This window comes from Homo sapiens, chromosome 5 (assembly GCF_000001405.40).
Source record: "Homo sapiens chromosome 5, GRCh38.p14 Primary Assembly".
Lineage (NCBI taxonomy): Eukaryota > Metazoa > Chordata > Mammalia > Primates > Hominidae > Homo > Homo sapiens.
This window is the reverse complement of record NC_000005.10, coordinates 19,872,403-19,897,268: the sequence shown is the minus strand read 5'-3', so window position 1 is coordinate 19,897,268 and position 24,866 is coordinate 19,872,403. Positions and strand designations below refer to the sequence as shown.

Below are 24,866 nucleotides of genomic sequence, written 5' to 3'. Positions count from 1 at the left end.
TAAACATTTTGCCCATTTCTTTTTTTCACTGTGGCTTTTTAATTGTTTTGTAGAAACTCTTTATATGAGGAATTTGTCATATAAATTGTATGGCAAATATATTATTTCACCCTTAGATTGCTTTTTCATTCTATTAATGGGTGTTTCTTTTAAGGAATTATATTTCTTAGTTTAATATATTTTACCTTAACATATTTCCTTATGATTAATATGCTTTTCTGCATTGTTTTTAAGATATCTTTGCAAACACTAAAGTCATGAAGATATTCTACTGTTTGTTTCTTTCTAACAATGAAACAACTCTATCATCTTTTAAATTAAATTTTAATTTTGAGATAAGTATAGATTCACATGCAAATCTAAGGTAACACAGAGAAATCCCATGTACTCTTTAACCCATTTCTCTAATTTCCTAACTTCTATCTTGTAAAGTTATAATGCAATATGAAAACCACAAAATTGGTAGTAATATAGTCCACCAATCTAACTCAGATGTCCTTAATTTTACATGTACTCGTTTGCATATGTATTTATTTGTGTTTCTATGCAATATTATCACACATATAGTAATTAGTAACAGATTTCCGTCAATTCATTGGCTTAAAACGCTAGAAATTGGTTTTCACTGTTCTGGATACCAGAAGTCCAAAGTCAGTATCACTAAACCAAATTCAAGGTGTTTGCCAGGCTGTGCTCGCTTTGGAGGCTCTAGGGAAGAATCTGTTCTTTGGCCTTCCAGCTCCCAGTGGCTGGTGTCATTGCATGCCAATCTCTTCCTCTGTGATCACACAGCCTCATCTTTTATGTGTGTACCTAGCCCCTTGCCTCTCTCTTAGAAGGAGGTTTATGATGGTATTTAGGTCTCACCCAAGTAATCTAGGATAAGCTCTTTATTTTATTTATTTATTTTTATCTTTTTGAGAGGGAGTTTTACTCTTGTTGCCCAGGCTCGAGTGCAATGATGTGTTCTCGACTCACTGCAACCTCCGCTTCTTGGGTTCAAATGATTCTCCTGCAAAGTAGCTGGGATTACAGGCTGCCACCACCATGCCCTGATAATTTTTTTGTACTTTTAGTAGAGAAGGGGTTTCACCATGTTGGCCAGGCTGGTCTCAAACTCCTGACGTCAGATGATCTGCCCGCATTGGCCTCCCAAAGTGCTGGGATTACAGGTGTGAGCCACTGCGTCCGACCAAGCTCTTTATTTTAAAATTTTTAATTTAACCATATCTGCAAGGACCATTTTTTTTTCCCCAAATAATGCGACACAGGTTGCAGAGATTGAAGCATGGATGTTTTCTGGGGACCATTTTTCAGTCTTCCACGTTTAGATTTGTGTAGCTACCATCACAGTCAGAATACAGAACAGCCCCTTTTACCATGTCTACCTCAGTCTCAACTGCTTTTCACTGGTCCCCTCACCCCTGGAAATTACTTACCTGTTTTCCAACTCTGTATCTTTGTCATTTCAATCATGTTATATAAGTAAAGTCATTTAATATGTAACCTTTGGGGTTTGGCTTATTTCATTTAGCATAATTCTCTGGAGATTCATCCGAGTGTTATGTTTATAAATAGTCTATTTTCTTATTGCTGAGCCATTTCGTTGTGGTATGGCTGTATGGTTTATTTAGTGATTCACCTGTGGAAGGACACTTCAGTTATTTTCAGATCCAGGTTATAACAAATAACTCTGCTATCAACATTTGTGTAGAGGTCTCTGTGTGAACATAAGTTTTCATTTCTCTGGGATCAATACCCAGGAGTGAAATTGCTGGGTCGTTTGGAACTGCTGGGAGGTTTAGAACTTGATCATTTTTAACTCTCAGACCCTTTGCTCTTTTAAGACTCACAGTCTTACAGCTAAGACAAATTCAAGTAAGCCCAATGCTTTCATCAGAAAAACCACTCATTTATAAAAAGTATGACCTTAAACAAGATCAAGCTCAGCATTTGTGGCTTCTTCTTATACTTCCTGGCAACACAGACTTTTATTGAAAGCCTTACCAGTTTGCAAGACATTCCATCAAAAATCTACCTATTTCAGCTCAAGTTTCTTCTCAGGGAGAATCTCAGTTCTGTTCCCTGATTGACACTATAATAAAAACTTCAGCTGGATTTTTCCCATAAATTCAGCCAACATGCCTCTATCCCAGCAGTGAACATAATCCAGATTTAGGCCAAAATATCTACTACATAGAGCAGTGTTCAAGTGAGCATTTAGATCCAAGGTTCCATTAAAAAGGAAATATTGAATAGGCAACCTAAAACCTAAACATTTGCAATGAGAACAAAGACACAGGAGCAAATCTTCAGCAAAGACAGAATTATCTGTGTACATCAGAGAGAAAAATTCACCTTCAGGAATTTTCAGGACTTAAAGACTAACCTCATCATTCTTCTTGAGACCCTAAGAAATTCTTCAGGCAAGTGTGACATAGTGATAAATTACTCTTTGATGTTCACTAACATTGAACAAGTCTGAGAAAAGATAGAAATGTTCAGAGGTCAAATGTTACTGACTTTCTAGCCCCAAATGCTTGTACAAACAGCTATGAAGATAAATGGGAACTCATTTGTAAAATGCTGTATGACAACCAAAACAAATGCAATTTTATTCAGCTCACAATGCACATATGGTTTCTTAATTTTCTATAATAATAGAAAATATCTTCACAAAAATATAAAGAATAAGTTGCTGTTACAGGAACTTCAGTATATGTTTATTTTAATAATTTAAATAATCCAATTTATGAATTTAGAAATATTTTTTTTTAGGTAGCCAGACATTTACTTAATCCTAGTGACTTATGATCTTGTCATTTTCTTAATATGCCATTTGTTTACTATGTCTATTTCTCATATTAAGTATGTATTAGAATACTCAGTAGACATGTGAAATGTATCTATTTAACTGGTTAAAGTATCCTGAGTTTTGTAGAAAAACCTGTATTCATATGAACATATCACTTCTATTAACAATGGCATCCAAATAGTCAAGTGGTTATTAAATTTTTGATATGTTTACATTGAAATACTGTAGTCTTTCACCTAAAAGAGGAAGTTTAAAAACTAAAATAGATCCAATTTTAAAATATCAGTGGATTTTTTCTAGAGATTCTTGATTCTTTAATGTGTTTGAGGGTTATTAGAAATTATGGAGCCCTTGCATCTCTCTTTAAAAAAGAAATAAATATAAAATCTCTTACTTTTCAATCAGTACAGTCTATTTTAAGATAAATAATTTTTAAAATGCAAGAAAAGCAAAAAGATAGCGGGTATGCAAGGTGATAATGATAGGTTTGACAATGCAAATTACTTCTGTAAAATCATAGAACATGCTGCTTGTTTACTTTCCCACCTCTGATCTTTAATATAGGAGTTTTTCAATATGAGATAATGAGTTAAAAATAACAGGAGGCTAAATATATGTTTTCACTGGAAATCAATTTCCACCACATTTTAGCAACAATAGCTTCCTAAAAGAGAATTTAGGTGAGCAAAAATAACAAACAACAAGTGCTGAAAAGTCACATTAACTTCCATAAATCTTCCTTAAATAGTCTCTACCACTCAGTACAAATAAGCAAGACTGAAGTTCCCCTACAGTTGTGCCCTCCCTAATATTCCCCCTGAATCTGTTGTAATGTGAGGCTAAATAATCTTGTAGGAGAGAGAGAGAGAAAGAGAGAGAAAATGAATGTATGTATATGTGTGTAAATAACCTCTGCTTACAAACTAGGAATGCTTTTTAAAGTCATTATCAAGCTGTGTCAGTCTATGTGGTCCTGAAAATACAATTTGGTCCTTTCTTTTTGAAGTCCCTCTGTGTGATTCAGCAATTCCTTGTGTCTAGAAATAATGTGGATATATGCAAACGCTATTTGGGGAAAACTTTTCTCACTATGGTACTAATTCTAGTGTACTTATTAACACAATTTGTATCAATATTAACATACACAAATATATTTTATATTGTATCAGTTTCTTGTTGCTGCATAGCTTAGTACAATCAGGCTGCTATAGCAAAAGGCCATGAATTAGCTAGCTTACAAACAATAGTAATTTACAGTTTTGGAAGCTGGGATATCCATAACTCACCTCCTGGTACCTTCTCCTGTGTCCTCAGAGGCAGAGGGGCAGAGGGAGCTGTTTGGGAGGCCTCTTGTATAAAAGCACTAATGCCATTCATGAGGGCTTCACTCTCATGACCTAATCACCTCCCAAATTTCCCATCTCTCACTGCTATCACATTGGGAATTAGGTTTTAACATATGACTTTTGGGGAGACAAAAGCATTTAGGCCATGGCACTGCATAACAAATTACTCCAAAACTTGACAGCTTAAATAACAACCAGTGTTTAATATGTTGCATCACTTTTGTGGATCAAGAAATTAGAAGCCACGTAAGTGGGTGGTTTTGGTTCAGGGTCTCTTATGAGATCACTTTCAAGAAGTGTTGGCAGGGATGTCATCTTCTGAAATCTTGACTGGGCCTAGAAAATGAGCTCACCCATATGTTCTCGGAATCGGTACCTTTCTATCTGGGCCTCTGCTTGAATGTCCGTGTGATCTGATAACTGGCTTTCCACAGAGTGAACAATCCAAGAGAACACAAGGTGAAGAGTTTTTGGAAGTCACACTCCATGATTTCTACAATATTCTTATTGGTCACAGGTTCACCCTACTCCATGTCAGAGAGGACTATACAGGTACATAAATACCAGGAGGAAATGCACATGAGGATTACAGATCGTTGGAGACTGTCTCTTAGCTAAATAAGTCATTCCAGTGTTAAGAATTTTAGACAATATAATTGATGATTATGAGGGTAATAACATTACAAAGTTGATGCCCTACACAAATTCTTGTTTCCAACCCTTTCTCAATATGAAAAAGTAAAATTGAATTTCCTTATTTATTATTTTAACATATCAAAAAGTAATGAGTATCATATATCACCGCATTATTTTTCCTCCCAAAGGTAAACTAACATTAGCTAGAGCACTTTAAAGATATACTTGTCCTTTATTAACCAAGCAAGTAGAATTTTAGCTCTAAGGATACTTTAGCTACTTCAGACAGTGTCTTCTAACTTTTATTTGCAATAGAGTTAAACCTTAATTATTTCTATTGTTTCCTATTGCATTAAATTTTCAAATTAAATCTAGTTTTTATTTTGCATTTTTATCATCCCTGACACCTACCCAATTGCACATTTACTACTCATCCTCATTTCCCACAAAGTGCTAGGACTAAGAGAACAGAAAAGTGAGCTTGAAACACAGCCAAATAAAAAGTCAGCAAGACAATGCCCTTAAAGACATCTCATCTGTGGCAACTCTTCATTTGATCTTTGTTTCTCGAAGTGTCCTTCTCTCCTGCTTTGCTCCTAGGAAATGCTTTTAAACATAAAATATGTAATTACATTCCATTCTCTTAGTAAATGTGTGAGTCAGTTAGAAAGCAAACATATATAATAGGGAGATGGGATCTGCCCAGGCTGGAGGTTTGTATCATTTCCAAAGCTGATGTTTCTATTCTGAAAACAGAGTATCTCAGCCTGGGGAGAAATTCAGAGGTTACATGGATCTCACACCAATCTGAGGCTAGAATCTTCTCCTGAATATAATCCAGTTAATGTTGTTTGAGGCACTTATAACAGGGAATTCATTATCTCCTGAGGGAGATAATGTGGGAATCTTGATCAATTTGGGGCTGTTATAAGTTGTATTGTGAGTTATTACTTAAACTGAGTAAAAAAATTATAAATTATCTTTTACGTGATTATCTTTCATTTTGTGCATAACATAATCTCTGAAGCAACACTAATTCAAGTTGAAGGGTTCTAGTTTCCACAAAATATTTTTTGTAAGGATTCAGGATTATGCTCTTAGTCATGAACCTTTGATTTGGGAAAGGTTTCTACTCACACGTTAGCCCTATCCCCATTCCTCTGCCATCCAGACAAGAATTCTGAAATAAATAAAATTATACTGATGTTAGAAAGTGAAACTATAAAATCAGCACATTTTATTTTGGAGGTGCACTGTCACTTGAACGAGATAGAAAGATTCTTAGATCCACAGATAAAGGCATATTGAAGACTATATCATTTAGAACAGGGATAGGTAAAATGGAATGATACAGAGAGCAGACCAAGCCAAAGGATGCCAGTGCCAAGGGTAGAAATTGACAAGGAAGTAAGAATTACATAATGAATTTTGGATATTAGAGTCTTACTAAGGATGTTATCCACTATTGTGGAAATAGATAGTTCACCCATTAATAGTAAAGTTGTCTATTATGTAACTAAATCTTCTTTTTCTGATTCCACATTCACTCAGAAACTGGTTTTAAATTGGTTTTCTACGCAAATCTATCTATAAGAAGTGACCATTGTGGTTATTCTGGAAAAAGTATTGCAACCTATATGACATTTAAAATACATTGATGTTCAGCCTGGCCAACATGGTGAAACCCCGTCTCTAATAAAAATACAAAAATTAGCCAGGCATAGTGGTGGGCGCCTATAATCCCAACTACTCAGGAGGCTGAGGGAGGAGAATCACTTGAACCCAGGATGCGGAGGTTGCAGTGAGCCAAGATTATGCCACTGCACTCCTGCCTGGGCGACAGAGCAAGACTTTGTCTCAAAAAAAAAAAAAAATGGTGTTCTGGGCTAATGCTGTTCTGAGTTTGATTAATGTGAAATGTCTGCATTTTCTGTGCAGTGTCAAAATTGTGTCGTTTCTCAGCAAGCCAAGTATCTTTGAATGGAGCTTAGCCATTGGACATTTATATATTCAACAAGACCATTGTAGCAGGCAGAATGGTAGTCCCCCAAAGATTTCCACATCCTAATCCTCAGAACCTCTAAATGCACCACATGGAAAAAAAGTACTTTACAGATGTGATTAAGGGTCTTGAGATGGGAGATTCTCCTGGTTTATCTGGGTGGGCCCGAAGTAATCACAAGTGTTGGTAAAACAGAGAGAGATGTGACAGTCCAGGAAGGTGGAGTGTGATGTGCTCTGATATGGCAGAAGGGGCTGCAAGCTGAGAAATGCAGGCAGCATCCAGAAGCTTGTAACAGCACAGAAAACAGATGACCCCCAGAACCTCCAGGAGCATGAATCTGCCAAGACTATTTAGCTTGTTAGACTCATTTTGGACTTCTGAACTCCAGAACTGTAAACCAATTAATTTGTTTTGTGGTAAGCTACCAAGTTTGTGGTAATTTGATTATACTAGAGATTGGAAACAAATACAGTAATTCATCTTCAGAAGATTCTTAGATGGTAACCATTTGGCCTTTTCCTGTTAATAGCCTCATCTTGCATTGCAAGATTTTTCTCATGTGTACATATTTATATGATATCGCATGTAATTCTCTTCTGGAGCAAACAGCATTTTGGACACAATCTGATATCTCTGATTTATTGTTATTAGATAATGCATTTTATGAGCACATTTTAAAATCATGACTTTTTTTGGCTGTGACCATATGTGTGTTTAGGCCTTTTAAAAATTAATATAAATTGCTAGATCTCATTTTTCTAATCAGAGATCCTTTGATTTTAAAAGTCAAGTACTATAAAAACCTTCCCTTAAGGAAAACCCTAGGCCTGGTGGCATCAGATGTAAATCCTTTACAATATTTTCATTTAAAATAACAGCATTTTAAGATAAATTCTTCTGCAGAATAGGACAGTAATGGTTTATTGAGATCAACTAATGATATTATAACAAAAGAAAAACAAAAGCCAGAGTCTCCCCTAAATATAAATTCAAAACTCATAAAAATATTAACACAAAAATACAAGAGCTATAAAAAATAGCTAGGCTGAACTTATTTCTGAAACACATGGTCATTTAAGTTTGAAACTCAATAAATTTCAAAAATTTTATAGGATGTTGGAGAAAAATTACACATTTCTCTCAAGAGGTACAGAAAAAAAATTGGCTAACATTTGATGTCAATTTATTATAAAATTATTAGCAAACTAGATATACAAATGGCCATCCATATCCATGAGTAGTACATTGTTGGATTCAACTATCTATACATAGAAAATATTCAAAAAGACCTGATGATTGGCTTTGTACAGAAAATGTACAGACTTTTTTGCTATCATTATTCCCTAAAAAAATACAATACAACAACCATTTACATAGTATTTACATTTATTAGGTTATAAGCAATCTAATGATGATTTGAAGTATATGGGAGGATGTGCATATATTATGTGCAAATACTATGTCATTTTATATCACAGAGTTGAGCATGCACAGATTATGGTACCCCTGGTGGGTCCTGGAATGAATCCCTCACAGATACCAAGGGAAGCTATAAAACAGCATTTCCTTTACCAGGTAAAAACGTATTGAAAACAAACATATTTATTGGCAAAAATAATTAAAACATTCTTCTGGAAATCAACAACAAGTAAAAAAATGTCTGTTACCAGGACTTCTATTTAAAATTGTACAGGAGGCCTCTGCTAATGCAAAGAACATGAAATATGAGTGTAACATCTAATGAAGAAGAAATTTTTAAATGTGATATTTAAAGGAGGATGACTATGCACATAAACAATTGCACAGATTCTACAGATCAATAACTGAAATTAGTAAATAATTTTAGCAGATTTTCTGTTAGAAAGCCACAATGCAAACACTAATTTTATTTCTATAGACCAGCCCCAAATTAGAAATTTAAAATTTAAACTACTACATATATATAAATTTATATACATTTATAAATTTAACACACCATATATATGTGTGGTGTGTGAGTATCAGAAAACATGAAATGGTTAGAAATAAATCTAATGAAAGATATCTAAGACTTACACACATACAAAATTCCTAAAGCCATTACTGAAAAAAACAAAGAAGACATAAATAAAAGGAAATATATACCTTGTTAAGGATTTAAGTGTTGTGAAGATGTGAATTCTTTCAAAATAGGTCTGTAGCATCCATTTAAAAAATAAAAATAAACTGTCGGTGTGTGTGCACATGTATGTTTTTGTGTGCAAGCTAATTGTAAGATGTACGTGAAAATGCAAATGGCCAAAGATAGCAAAAATAATCTTGAAGAAGAAAAGGGTAGAGGGCTAGCACTATTTTACATCAAAGCTAATTATAATGCAACATGGTAAAGCAGTGTGATAGAAATCTCAGAAGAGACAAATAGAATAAGGGAATAGAATGGAGAGATTAGAACCTACCTATACAAATACTGCCATATAATTTGTGATATAGGTGGTGGCCACACCATGCAATTGTGTATGCATGGCCTTTTTGACATATGTTTCTGAATCAACTGAATATTCAATTCAAAAAAATTGAACCATGACCTTTGTCTCACACCATATACAAAAGTAAGACCCTGGGTGTGGTGGTTCACATCTGTAAATCTCAACACTTTGGGTGGCTGAGGCAGGAGGCTTGCTTGAGTCCAGGAGTTCAAGACTAGTCTGGGGAGCAAGGTGAGACCCAGTCTTTACAAAAAAATTAAAAAAAAAAAAAACACATGGTGGTGTGCACCTGTGGTCACAGCCACATTGGGAGGCTGAGGCAAGAAGATCACTTGACCCCAGGGGGTTAAGGCTACAGTGAAATATGATCATGCCACTGCACTCCACACTGAAGACAGAGTTAGACACTGTCTCTAGAGGAAAAAAAAAGCAAGTCCCAGATGGATTGTAGAGCTAAAGGTGAATATTAAAACAATACAACTTTTGGGGAAAAAGACACATGAGAATAACATCATGATTTTGTTTCTTAAATAGAACGTAAATCACTATTAAAGAAAAGTTAATAAATCTATTTTAAAAATCTATTCATCAAAACAGATCATGAGGAGAGGGATAAAGCACAGGAGATATATCAAACGCACACATATATATAAAATATATATTAGGCAATGCGGTTATCTCAGAATATAACTCATAGAAACCAATGAGATAAGGAGAAATAGCTACATTGGAAAGCTGTTTGGGAATAAACTGGTAGTGAGTATGCGCTGTTACGTTTTTGGTATAAGCTAATTATAAGTTGTATGTGAAAAAGTAAATGGCCAAGGGTAGCAAAAAAAAAAAACAAAAAACAAAAAAACAAATTTTTAGCCATTCTTCTCTTAGCTCTGTGTATGTATCACATAAATAATGCATATACATGTGGGCACCTGAAGCCAAGTATATGTGTATTTATACTGACCTTATTTATTATGGTACCCAACTAAATCAACCCAATATACATCAATAACAGTATGCATAAATAAATATTGGTAATTTGTCATATGCAATAATATATAGCAATGTAAAGATCAAGCTACTGCTATGTTTTATGAAATGGATACATCCGACACACACAATGATGAATGAATGAATCCACACAAAAAGAATAGTATATCATATGACATAATTATTTCAAGTTAATTGACAGCAGAGGTAGGTTACCTTTGTTGAAAACCAGTGAACAAAGGGGACACGTGTAGACATCTGGATACTGGTGATGTAATTCTTGAGCTGGATGTGATTACACAGGTGCTTTCACTTTACAAACATCACTGAAGTGTATATTGAAACAAGTGTGGCCACCCTCCTATATATGTCATATATTTCTATGAAAGCTTATTACAATAAAAGATACATTACCGGAGTAACACACATACTCAAAAGAGAAAGATTGATTGCGAGGAAACACAGCAAATCTCAGGAACATCCTAAGTCAGAAAATAAAAATTTAACTGGCTTGTAGAAACTCGGACTGGATGTCAGAATTTAGGGTTGCTTCTTCATATTTGGCAACTGAAATAATTGCCTCTTGTCTCTGTTTCTGTCCTCTCTGTGATTTTGATTCTTTTTGCCAGCTAGCTTTCTTCGCTTACTCATGCAATCTCCTCTACTGCATAGCTTTTAGCTTGCATGTGGCTTTGACTCACCATGTCACGAAAGCTAAATCAGGTACTGGGTGCATTTTCATTTTAAGTACTGCAGTCATCTAATGTACTTCACCAGCAGAATCTAAATTCTAGATCCAAGAAAGATTATTGTCAGCTGGCTTTATTCAGGGTCCAATTCTGAGCCCAGTATCAAGTAATAAAGATTGAGTGGTGTGATAATTAGAGATGCTTCAACCAAAGTATGTGAGTTAATCAGTTTTATTCTTGTTTTACTTTTTTGCTTTAAGAAGAAACCTGTGATTGTGAAAAACTCATTGAAATTCCTTGCTACCGCTATGGTCATGGAAATAAAATGGCATGATACAGAAGTTCTCAAACTTTTTGGTCTCACACACTCTCAAATTTATTGAGGACCATAAAGAGATTTTGTTTCTGTAGATAAGATCTATCAACGCTCACCATATAAGAAATTAAAACTAAGAAATTGTAAACACATTCCTTTTAATTTTCTAAAATAACAATAACAACTCATTGCATATTAGCATGTCATCTGTTGTTATGAAAAATAGCTGTATTTAAAAATAATAGAAGAGCTGCATTGTTTTACATTTTTGCAAATAAAGATTAGCTGAGTGTCATGGTGCATGCCTGTAGTCCTAGCTTGCTCAGGAGGCTGAAACAGGAGGATTACTTGAGCCCGGAAGCTCTAGGCTGCAGTGAGCTATGATCGCACCACTGTACTCCAGCCTGAGCAAACAGATCAAGACCCTGTAGAACTCTTGTTTTCTAAAGCCAGATCTCTTGCTCTTAAGTACAGTTTGTTATCTTTGTTTGGCAATTTAAGATGTAAACAACAAATGTTAATGCATTTTTTAACCGATGTATTTTACACTAATATAAAACCTAATGAATTATTCTTAGATGTATGAAATCACATTACAGATTTACTGTCCCTTTTTAGACATCATGCCAAATGCTGTATGCAAATCTGATTTGCTTGATAACAGCTAGTACTCTTGACAGCATTTAAAATAAACTGGATGTCATTATAACTTAACGGTCACACCAACCTTCCAAAGTACATGCTGTTTTAATATACATTGTACAAGTTAAGATGAAGGTTTTAGAGATTAAGTCACTTGGCCTCAGCCAGAGAGATAGTCAAAGATAGAGCTAGATTTTGAACTTTGATATGTTGGCACCAGAGTTCATTCCCTTAACCACAAAGTTATCTAATTTTGAAATAATTTTTCGCCCATAATATGGAAGGCAGTGGAAAAAGGAAGCAGGAGGTGGGATAAATGTATGTTGATTAGTGATACATTATTATTTTTTTGAACTGCCGTAACATCTCAAACTACCAATATCACTTTGCAAAAATGTATAATGTCTTGATAGTGTGAAAAATTAATTATAATCCATTAATTATAATGTCCCTAGTTTGCTTTTGTTCTGTTATTTATAAATGCTATTATTTGATAACCTTGCTGTACTACATATCATACTAGTTTAGTGGAAAGAGAAAGAGTGACTGTTTAAAAAATTTTTGTAAAGATTTAAATTTCTTACTTAAGCTTCTAGAAATAATCCTGTCCTTTCAAGCAACAATAAAATGATAAAATAACATAAAAGATGATTCACACCAATACTTTTTTTAAAAACACAGGATTGTTACAAGTATTTAAAACGTTTATATTATTTTAAAACACAGAGTTGTCATAAGTATGTAAAACATTTATATTATTTATTTCCCATATTTCTTTTAATCTATGTATCTTTTATAATTTAATAATATTGTACAATATACTTATATACTATTTTGGATGACTTATGTATTTTTTATAATTTTAATGTTTTGTATAGGAACTCTTTTCAGTAAGAAATGAAATGATAGATTTCAACTTAAAATAGAAATTAGCCTCAAAGGTAAAATAATGCTCTGTTAGGCAGTATTTAATAACTTTTCTATATTTCTAATTTATTTCAGGACTGTTTAGTTCTCCTTTTATTGTTCTCATTCTGTTCCATTAATAGGTCTTAAGTTTACCTCAGAGAATCAACTGCCAAAATCATCAAAGTTTTAGTGAAAACAATTTTGTTAACAGTCTTTTATAGCAAGAAATGAGCTGAAGTAGGCGACCTTGCCGCAAAATTTGTTTTCAGACTTTTTAGTAGAACATGGGGCTCTAACTGTAGCTGTAATTTTAACTTCCCATTGACTGTCAGTTGAAAATATATAGAAAAAGATGTGCTATTCACAGAAATCTCCATAAAAGGCTTAAAGATTATACATTTCAACATATCCAACTGACAACCCATGCTTTACTGCACATAAAAATAATCACACATTAAAAAGATATAAACACTTTATGGCCTGTAAAACACAAATCAAATTGTATTCTTTAAGTCATGTTTCAGAAAGTAAAATATAATTTAAACGAAGATGACATGAATAATAGTTTAATATTATATATTAGCATTATACTAAGCAAAAGTATTATTTTAATATTGAAAAGAGTAAGCACATTGCTTCAGTAAACTCTCGTCTATCCTTGTATATTTACAAGTTGAGATTTAGTTCTGCATTTGAAAGTAAAAATTCAAGTAGAATAAACATTTTGCCTTAAAAACAGAACGTCAAACCCCTTTTTATTTCAGATCCAATTCACTTGGCATTTTCAAATTCTAGCTAATATTCAGAATATAATCTTTGCATTTAAGACATGATACTGAACAAATAAAATGTAATATTTAAACTATATAAACAAATATAAAAGAGAAACTCACTTTGAAAATGTAATACTGGACAAAACAATTATGGTTCTTTTTCTAAATCATTAGAGATGAAAGGGCAAAACTCATGCTTAGAAGTCAAATATATCACAAAGCCCTACCAAAAAAAAAAAAATGTTGATGTAGTAAACAATCAATGGATAGTCATTGTGTGAAAACCTGTATGACCAAGAGTAGGTTTCAGTGTATAAACTGCTTGTGATTTCGTCAGTGACTTGAGTGCTACTCTAACGGTATCACAGAGTGTAACACAATTTGAACTCAATCTTCGTTTCAAAGAACTGTTTATATCATTTCTCAAGACCAGTGATGCTAAGCATTAGCTTCCTAACGTTAGATTCCAAAGTGTCATAAGAATCATCTGAAAAGCTTATTTAAAATGTAGTTTTCAGCCAATGCCCACAGATTTTGATTCTGTAAGTCAAGGTCAGTGCTCTCGAGCCAGCATTTGGGGCTGTCTGAAGCACGTGGGAGGCAGAGTATCTTGCACAGATTATTTCTTCTGTTTCAGGGTTAAACTACCTTGAAAAGCCCAACCACACCTTTCCTTTAAAGGGCTAAATATATTTAATAGCATATATTATTCTTGTTATTAATTTGAAAGTCATCTGGTCATATAAATATAATAGTAATTTTATAAAGATAACAAAAATGCATCCAAAGATATCTTGATACCTGATAACTTACAGTTAAATTTCATAGTTCTTGCTTCTTTCATTTATCAGTGAGGATGTAAATATAGTAATATCTATTCCATAATCATACATACGTATTTTTTTCTGGCATTCTCTTAGGGCATTAATTCTAAGATGACAGTGATTACATATTAATGAAAAATTTTCTGAGACTTCTTTCTAAGGTTTGGTATCTTCATTCACATCACAATTAGCACATATTGATGCCATGCCTTCACTGCAGTAATACTTCAGAGAGTTTGGATACAAAACTTTTCTGAAACTAAAGTAAAACAGTGAAATGAACCTTTGTCCTTAGTATTTTTAATATATAATAGTCCAAACTATTATTTTAATTTAGATAATACTCAGAATATTTCCAATTTTTAAACAATGTGTATGAAATTCTTTATCTCTTAAGATTCATTTGACTTAATGATCCTAAGAAAATTAAACTTTTTGACATAACTTTAAAAATAAAACAGCCACAAGGTAATGTGGCTTATATGTTATGCTTGCATTTTATAATAAAAATGAATTTATTACTGAATGTACATCTACCTAAATGTTATATACAATGAATTATGAAAAATAATAAACTATTCCTATACTCAGAATATTTTCTAGGTGAAGTAATGAGACACAGAATCAAAGAATCACAAGGAAAGAACTGTAAATTGTGAACATTGCTTTTGAGTTGGCAATTTTCTTCCCAAAAATGAATAAAATAATATTGTAAGACATGTATTATGAGTTGCACAGATGATTTTTGAACACAGAATACTAATGGAAGGAGATCAAACCTGGCAATAATTCACAAAGATAATATGTTGTTGAAATTTTAATAGTCACATTTGTATGTGACATCATCTAAGTCGAGATTTTCAAAATACATTACAATTAGTGGAGGTATACCATGAAGTTCCATGTAAAAAAATACCAAAAATTTGTTCCCCTGTTGAACTACAGGATAGTTCAACATGGTTATAATAGAATACAGAATGAACATGTATAAGATGTAATTAAGCCCATCAGGTAGGGAACCAGCAGAATAATAAAGGTAATTCAAAAGGCATTTGAGGCCAGGTGCAGTGGCTCATGCCTGTAACCCCAGCACTTTGGGAGGTCGAGGCGGGTGGATCACCTGAGGTCAAGAGTACGAGACCAGTCTGGCCAACATGGTGAAACCCTGTTTCTACTCAGAGTATAAAATTAGCTGGGCGTGGTGGTGCATGCCTGTAATCAGGTACGTGGAAGGCTGAGGCAGGAGAATCGCTTGAACCCAGGAGGTGGAGATTGCAGTGAGCCAGGATCATGCCATTGCACTCCAGCCTGGTTAACAAGAGTGAAACTCCATCTTAAAAAAAAAAAAAAAAAAAGCACTTGAAGAGCTGGGTATTTGTCAGCGTTTGAATAATGAACATTAGACTAGAGTAAATCTGTTTGACCAGATACAAAACTGATGTTCTGCATGAAAATAAAACCATGACCTTTGATGTTATAGTTTCTACTAGGCTGAACCATTTGCATTTGTCTTGACAAAAAAAATCTATTTATTATGTAACTCAACAGAGTATTGACCTTTAATCAATAGTGGGTAGCACATAAGACAAAGAAATATTTGTCTAGATATTTACATAAGTTTTGGACCCACTATTAAAACAAGGCATTGAAAGGACTTACTCTCTTCCCTTTTCCTTGTTTCCAAATGTTAGTAATTTTTCTTATTAATATTGTATCTGCCCTCTGCCTTCATACATATCCCTTCATAATATGATTGTCTAGCTTATGGCACCGTTTAATAAACTCTCTCACCTCTCCTTTTGCCAGAATAACACTTCCCTGGAGAGCAGGAAATAATTAACTGTGTGAATTCAAAGGGACTCCCTGCAGGGCTATAGGCTTCATGCTAAGTAAGAGTAAATAGAAATTGTTTGCAGTGTCAACAATTACAGCCAACAGAGTCAATAAGAATTTAGAGATAAGATTAACAATAGATAAGTGACTAAATGGGAAACATTCCTTTTGAGAGTTAATGGCATCTTTATTTGGAAAGTTTCTGAGATTTTTAGTGTTTCTCTATGAGCATACAAGTGTTTCAAACAGATTTTTCAAACTAATTTTAGATTTTGGATGTTGCATTAAAAAATGCCTTCATGCTTTGAACAGACATAATTAAATGCTATTTAATGTGCCCTTCAGAATGAGATACTTGAATAATTTACTGTAGTTCATTCCACAGTGCTTAAGTCCAGAGCAATGATTACACCAAATTGATCTCTTGACATTTTTCACAGCACTTCATTTTCAAAGTAGTTGGTCTTGTACACATGTGTATCAACCAAAAATATTGCAATTCAGAGGAGCTCTTCAACAGACTGTCAAATAAATCTATCCTTCTTCAATGCTTAATTCACTTGAAAGCTAAATCCTATAGATTTGATGGTTATCTAAATGAGTATAATTACTCTTCATTTTAGGGTTTCTAAAAATGCTTCTTCTTGTTTAAAATTACTCGATTTGCATTCACCTCTGTATATGTAAATGGTATTTGTTGTTTGGAAGCTGAATTTAAATAAAATGTAATTTAATATACTTAAGTTTCTAATATAGCTAGGCCTCTGCTTGTGGACTTCTTTTGGTAACTTTTGAATGACTTCATGTCTTATATCCATCTAAGGGAGTTTCAGTGTGTGGTTTTGGGTCAGTTAGATAGTAGAAAAGAAAAGAGATAGAAGTACATATAGAGTTTACCTGAACATGATGATTTCTTTGAGCATTTTCCCAAAATAGAAGCCTGGTTCATACTACACTCTGGGAACATATTATTTCTACAATGTCAAATGTATGTTTGCATGGTATATTTAATGCCCCTAAATAGAAATACATTAGGATTTGGCTTTGTGTACATAGTTTTCTATAATTTGCCTGGTAGGACACAACAGGATTTCAAGCAAACAATTCATTAAGTCACCTTTAAAAGATATAAATAAGTATTTTCTTAACATGTATATAGACATGACATCAAATGAAACCCTGAGAAGAGGCCACAGTAGAATATTTCAAGCATGTTAGGCCCAAACTAGGAGACTCCAACTATGTCTTTGAAAGAAACAACTAATTAAACAAATCAAATGTATTTAATTAAATATCTATGATCTCTCTGTGATGCACACATATCCCATTTCCTATATAAGCCTTTCATATTTTGGTGTTTCTAAATACTTCAACTGAAACTTACCAAATGCTTGCTGCAATCACAGTGTTGTTCCAATTATTTTAATGAATACTTTATATCTACTGCTGTAGGTATACTTATACCAATCCGTGTTTTTAAGTTCTATTTAATTCACACCTAAGGAAATAATAAAGCAGATATTTCAATAAACTTACCCAATATCATACAAGTAATAGATATCAGAACTTAGATTTAAACAGTGAACTAGAACATTTAGGTCTTTTTTTCCCCTTTTCATCATTTCCTTATAAATATGGGAATTGTTGTAAAGTCAGTATTTAATGTATTAATATGTGCTCCCCCATACTAGAGCTAAGAAAAACAAGCAGTTATGTGGCAAACTTCTTTTTAAAGGCTTACAAGTCTTGTTATTTACCTTAAGAATTGACACAACCTTTCAATCACTTAGGGCATTCTTACCACCCCATAAAAATCTCTCTTTGCAACATTACACTTGCTTTTTTAAAAAAATTGATTCTGCTTAGATTAAAGCACTAAGTGTAATGAGCAAGTTAAGATAACTTTAGCTGAAGAAAGCTTAGAAAGCTTAGATTAGAGTATTATTCATTGGACTTGAAAGAGGCTTTAAATTATATAATTTATATTTTGTTTATAAAAATGAGAGTATATAATGGTAGATATTTGAATGCATGAATAAATGAAAAATTCTTAGTAATAAGCTAGAGACATTTTTTAGCTTCTATTTGATCTCCTTGAATAGTATTTACTGTTTAAAAGTTTGCAACATTCGAAAACTAGTTCTAAAAATTAAGTCTTTAAAAATTGAAATTTAAATTTTTACTTTGTGACACACAAAAAAAGATTTTTTTATAAAATGACTTTCCGGTATGAGAGTACATTTATCATAGACTCATGTAATGTAAGTTACTATTTTATTACATTTTTCTGCTACTTACAAATTATGTAGTTGTAGTTAAGTTGCTTAATGTTTATGAACCTTGATTTTTTTTCATGGATAAGATAAACCTCTGTGATACCTCCCTATTTGAATAATTGTAAGCCTTAAATGAGAGAATGAGAGAATGGATAGAAACTATCTAGCACTGTGCCTGCCACACTGTAGGAACTTTGTTTCTTTTAGGTAGGTAAATTATCTCCTTTCCATCAGCCACAGAAATAACTCAGGAAGCAGACAACATTCACAGGCTTTTCTTCTCTAGATGGAACCATTGTACCAGGGCAGCATGAAAAGATCTATTGCCTAAGTTCCTAACAATTGTTTGTGTGCCGTATGTTTGTATTCTGACATTGTAGCAAAGAATAATATAAATACGTTCTAGTACTAACTCCAGTTTGTATATTTTAGAATGATGGTTGAAGGTCTGCCATGTCATGTGTTTTAAGCATGTAAGTTTTATAAAGTTAGCAATCTAATCACAATAGGATAACATCTGGCTGTCTCTCTCAAAAATATTGGCAATCATAGACAATTAAAACAATTAAATTTATAAAGAATAAGTTGAAATTCCCCTCAAATTGCCATACCTAAAGGGAAAAGTATTTTGGAAAACTTTTTTCTCCTTTTTATCCACCTAGGTTTTCAAAAATGGGAACATATTGAACCCTTGGTTCTACAACTACCTTCTTACAACGAAGTTAGTATGCAGTGCTCTCCAAGTCAATAAGGAAAGTGGTAATGAATCATCATAATAACATTATTAACAATACCTAGTTTTACTGAGCACCTAATATATGTCAGATATTATCTGAAATGCTTCACATGTATTATGATATATGAGATGCGAAATGATTTTGTGAATAGCTATCATTTTGATTCCTAAACAACTTTTCCCAGATCTTAAGTGAAGTAGGTAGCACAGCCTGTCCTCAAACATCTGTCTCTTAAGGCTGAAGAACATGCTTCTATTTTCCTACATCGGTGCCTTTGAATGACACTGAAATTCTCTTTGCTGTAATCTCAGTTACATAATTCTATCTACTTGTTTTAGGCCCTACTTCCAAGCTGTAATGTTCCAAGAGGAAAGGACCAGTTCTATTTTTTCAATCTATGTTACTATAAACATAAATGTCTCACACATAGCCAGCTTTGAATAAGTCAATAAAAAAATTACATGACACCCTTTTAATAGCTACACTGAATTCTTTCATGTGCACATGCTGTGAAGTATGTAACTAGCCCCTTTTCATCTATACTTTTATGTGCCTATAATATCTACCTTTATGACTATCCTCGTATTTACATTCTTGTGCAACTGTTCACATTTTTCTTGTTAGGAAAAAAATCCCCAAATTAGAATTGCTCAATCAAAGCATACCCACATTTAAAATTCAAAGCATACTGTAAAGTACAGTTACTTAGGAAGATTTTTCCAGTATTGCCTTCACAATGTTGAATAAAAGTAACGATTTTCCCCACTTTTTACGACATTTAATATAGGTTTTTTTTTTACAGTTTGAAAGTTTTTAGCCAAAATGAAATCTTACCAAAACTGTAGCACGCTTGCTTCATGGTACAGTAATACTGCTAAAAGGCAAATCTCCAAGTCTCCGTGGCTTAACACAGGTGATTTGAAGTCTGTTGTGCATGGTGAGGGTCTTTGTTTTCATAGTCATTGGGGGATTCATTCTTCTACTGTGGCTCAGCCTTCTTCGAAGGCCTCAATTTTTTCTGTGTGTTCATCCACCAGATGGGTAGAGCAAATGGAGGATTGATCACAAGGGAAGATTTTATGAGCCATGCCAAGAAGTGACTTAATCATTTCCACACGGATTTCATTGGCCAGAACTGAGTTGTATAGCCACCTTTAACTTCAAGGAAGGTTAGGAAGTTAGCATAGCTCTGTGCCCAGGAAAACCGGAGCATTGGTTGAGCAAACAATGAACCAGTCCCTACCTGAGTTTTCCCTTCTGGTCACTAAATAACTGAATCTTCATGCTTTACATAAAACCTACTCATGCCACCCCAAAAAAGACAAGCATTATCCCATACATAAAAGTTAAAGATTCCTGGATAATAGTCTTCTCCAAATGGTCAGGATCTAAAAGGCAATCCCACCTCACCCCTGCAGATATCCCAAATCAAGGGCAGAACTGAGACAGGGTAACCACAACAAAAATTCCCTCCTGGGAAAAGGAGAAATAAGAAGCAAACAGATGTTTCCAGTTCATATCAATATTTAAATACTCCTGGGGATGAGACAGTGATTTTTCCAGATAACGGGAACTCTCTGGCCCGTTATTGTTTATAAACCATCTAGTTGTACCTTATAGTTGATATTTCTTGCACTTTTTTCTTCCATAACTACATCTGGAGTAGGCAGTGAAAAATAAGCTGTTCTTTGGGACTGACTCCTAGAATCTTCCACCTGTATATTCAAGCCTCAGGATGCAAAGGTTTATCTGAGACTCAAGTTATCAAAATGTTATTGTCCAGGATCATTATTTCTTTGTCAATAAGATTTCTTCACAAATGGGTAGGATTTTGATTGATTTTTTAAAAAATCAGTCCCATATAATAGTAAATGCTCCTGTGAGAGGGTTTTATGGACCACACCTGAATGTAGTTTTTACTACTTTTAGCCATGTCCCTTTGGCAAGGACTCAGCAATTATAGCCAAACCTGGATGGCCAGGAGCAGACAATTTTGGTAAACATCAGCCTATTGTTGCCTTAATTATTGGGAAATAAAAAAACCTCTATATTAGGGAATAACTTTGATTCATTTTAATTGTCCTGTTGAAATTTGGATGTAGTCTGTGTATAAAAAAAAGTTACAATTAAAAAAATTACCAAGGAATAAAATTTAAAAATATAAAATCTTGTATCTTCCAGAATTCTTTATTTTTCAATGACAATTAATAAACTATAATTTGGCTACAATATTTTAAAAATACAAAGAATTGAAATGTAATTATGAATAAAACACTGATAAAAATTAAGGAAAAAGTAAACAAATTCTTTCTAGATTCAACAATATAAAAGATTCAATTCTATTTTGATTACTTGTGTTTAAAAATAGGCAAAATTATGATTTTATGTGTATGTATATATGTATATATATAAAAATTATTTCTGCTTTATGTATCAAAAATGATTTCTTATGATTTGAAGGTACAAAACATAAAAATGATAATGCATCATTTTAACTTGGGTTTCCAATGGCTTTAAATCTTTATAATCTATATGTATATCTATCTATCCATCTATCTATCTATAGATCGATCGATCTATCTATCTATCTATCTATCTATCTATCTATCTATCTATCTATACCCATGGAAGAAATAGAAGAATATTTTCAAGTACAAAGCCTGGGATTCCCCAGTTACATAGGTAAAAGGCAAAAGTGAAAGCTAAGTTTAGTCACTTCTCTCTCAGTTGCTGACTTTTCTATTAGTTGGGGCCCATCAAATCCTATTAGTCAAATATTATTAGGTCAAAATATCAAACGCTTAATTACTTTAACACTTTTGTAGTAAGCATCTCCCATATGTGAGACAAAGTGTGATTTAACAGGGATTCAAGAATTAAAAAAGTCAGGTATCTACTATTAAGAGGATTATGGTTGGATGCAGTGGCTACCAAATGGTGTTTCCAAGATGGGAAGAATTATCACCTGTGAACTCATTAGACCAGCATCTTCTCAGACTCCACTAGCCATCTGTTTTTAACAGGCCTTCTGGGTGATTCTGATGCAATCTAAAGATTGACTATGGCTGGTCTAGTGCTGTCCTTTAAGGGCACTTATGGTGTGTGACAGAATATGCTCCCCGCTACCTCTGCTCCATCCTGAGCATTTTTCTAAATTGCAACCAGAAACTTAAAATGTGTAAAAACTGAGCTACAGCACTTAATGTTCCATTTACTATTGTTATGTCCTTTACACATTACAAAAATAAGTATTCCTATAAATGAGTTGCAGCAGACAAGGTCTTGTGAGCATTCAGTAAGCAAACACATAAAAATAAAATGATATAGTAAAATTCAATTCAATTTCTCTCTCTTTAAATCCATTCTTTATTTTTCTAAAATGTATTAAAGTCATTTTCTACTAATAAGGAACAAATCTAAATTCAAGGTCAAGACCGTAAGAGGAAGAAAGCAAGTTTATTATAAACTATGATGTTAAATGTAGACTATAGGATCGAGAAGGAGATTTCACTGTTATCTTTGAACAAAGATTAAAAACAAAGTATGATTAGTTATGTTAGGATGGTTACTATAGAAACATATAAAATGCTTTGTTATAGTTTCATAAAGTTGTTGTGGAAGATATTATTAAAGACCTTAGAAATCCTAAACTTAATAGCTTAAAGGAGTCAGGCAGATAACTTAAATAAGCGATTAGAATCAGATGTAATAAAATGAGGACTGGCTTATGTAGACTGCAGTGATGTGCAGAACAGGCCATTCTGAATTGATAATGCATTTCCCAGGTCAGAGAGGTCAATGCCAAACAGAATATAGATCACATTTCACCAGATCTTCACATTTCTCAAGAGAAGATAGAAACTTGTACATTTAGGTAAAATCTACACATGCTTTAATATTTTAAAATAATTTACATTTTATAATATTGTGTTGGAGAAATGACATACTTCTGAGTGTATACATGCCCTTGAGCACATGCCAGTATACAAATTATGTGTTGCAACATGTTCTTTGTGGAAACTGAAGAGAAAATTATTTCTGCTTTGTGTATCAAAAATGATTTTTTTTGGCCAGGCACGGTGGCTCATGCCTGTAATCCCAGCACTTTGGGAGGCCGAGGTGGGCGGATTCCCTGAGCTCAGGAGTTCGCAACCTGCCTGGGCAACATGGTGAAACCCCATCTCTACTAAAATACAAAAAATTAGCCGGGCATGGCAGCATATTCCTGTAGTCCCAGCTACTCGGGAGGGTGAGGCAGGAGAATTGCTTGAACCTGGGGGGCAGAGGTTGCAGTGAGCCAAGATCGTGCCACTGCACTCCAGCCTGGGCGACAAAGCAAGACTCTGTCTCAAAAGAAAAAAAAAAGTTTTTTTTGATATTTTGAAAGTACAAAACATAAAGTTGATAATGCATCATTTTTAACTTAGGTTTCCAAAGGCTTCAAATCTTTAGCTTCCGTTTTTTATCAACTACTAGGGAATGTATATGTCATTAAGGATTTCATTCTATGTGCCTTTTCATTTTCAACTTCTTGCCTTTCCTAAGCCTCTTCTCTTCCACCATGCATTATTTTTATATTATATTTTATGGTATGGTTAACACAACCAGAATTTCCCTCACCGACTATGTTTTTCTTCAGATGATAGTGCCTTCATTCCCTTTGCTGTAGCCACCACAGATGAGCTGTTACTATTACAGGCCCATTTTAGACTTTCAATGAGATATGAGATCAGGACAAAGATGGTACTTTAAGCTGAACCATGCTTTCTCTTGTTCTTGAGCCATGCTTGTTCAGGCTTTTTTTTTTTTTTCTCAGAAGATAATTACCTGAATTTCAAAGTCCTCTGCATCCATATACATGAGCTTTTCCCCAAGTTTCCCACAAGGTACCATGGTACCTAGGTTGACAAAACTAGCCATAACATGTAACTAGAATAAACACTTCCTTCTAGCAACATAAAAATTAGTACTTACTTTGAGTCCCAGACCAGATTCCCCTTCACTATTTATATACTTCTCTCTAGAACCTCTGTCCTTTGACAAGATTATCCTTCATTTGCACTTATCTAATTATCTTAGATAGACTCTTAAATCTTTGGAACTCAGAAGATCAATACCATTGGGAAAGATTAAGTACAAACATTGGGATTCTCATCTCCAGAGAGGCCCTCTAGGCTTGTATACTTGAGGGATTGGGCATATATTAATTTTCTATTTTGTGTAACAAATTACCGTGCTTTTATGCGCTTGAAACCTATTTATTACATCTCAGTTTTTATTCATTAAGAGTCAGCCTTAACTGACTTAGCTGACTTAACTGAAGCTCTGCTCAGGATCTCACAAGGCTTCAATCAAGTTGCCAGCTGGGCTGTGTTCTCATCTGGAAGCTTGACTGGGGAAGAATCTGCTTTCAAGCTCATTTAGGTTATTGATAGAATTCATTTTTTCTGGCTGCAGAACTCATGGCAGCTTGCATCTTCAAGGCCAGTAGGAAGCTTGTCTGACCTCATGGAGGGCCCAATCCTTCTTTGAATGGCTTTCATATGATTAAGCCAGGCCAATGAATGAGAATCTCCCTTTTGATTGCCTCAGTCAACTGATTCAAAACCTCAA

General features: G+C 33.8%; 1 protein-coding gene across 20 annotated transcripts in view; it reads left to right on the top strand.

Annotated features, from left to right (window-relative positions):
- Positions 1-24,866, top strand: part of CDH18 (cadherin 18) — a 1,104,418-nt gene that overhangs the window by 678,445 nt on the left and 401,107 nt on the right. Inside the window, exons 1-2 of one of the 20 annotated variants that reach the window (NM_001291957.2) lie at positions 10,997-11,155; positions 19,179-19,275. The exons of 17 other annotated variants lie outside the window; for them this stretch is intronic. The gene's annotated coding sequence lies outside the window, so the exon portion shown is untranslated. Of the gene's footprint in view, positions 1-10,996; positions 11,156-19,178; positions 19,276-24,866 lie in introns of those variants that run through there. 2 more of the 20 variants (XM_006714435.5, XM_017008930.3) reach the window with 2 other exon arrangements.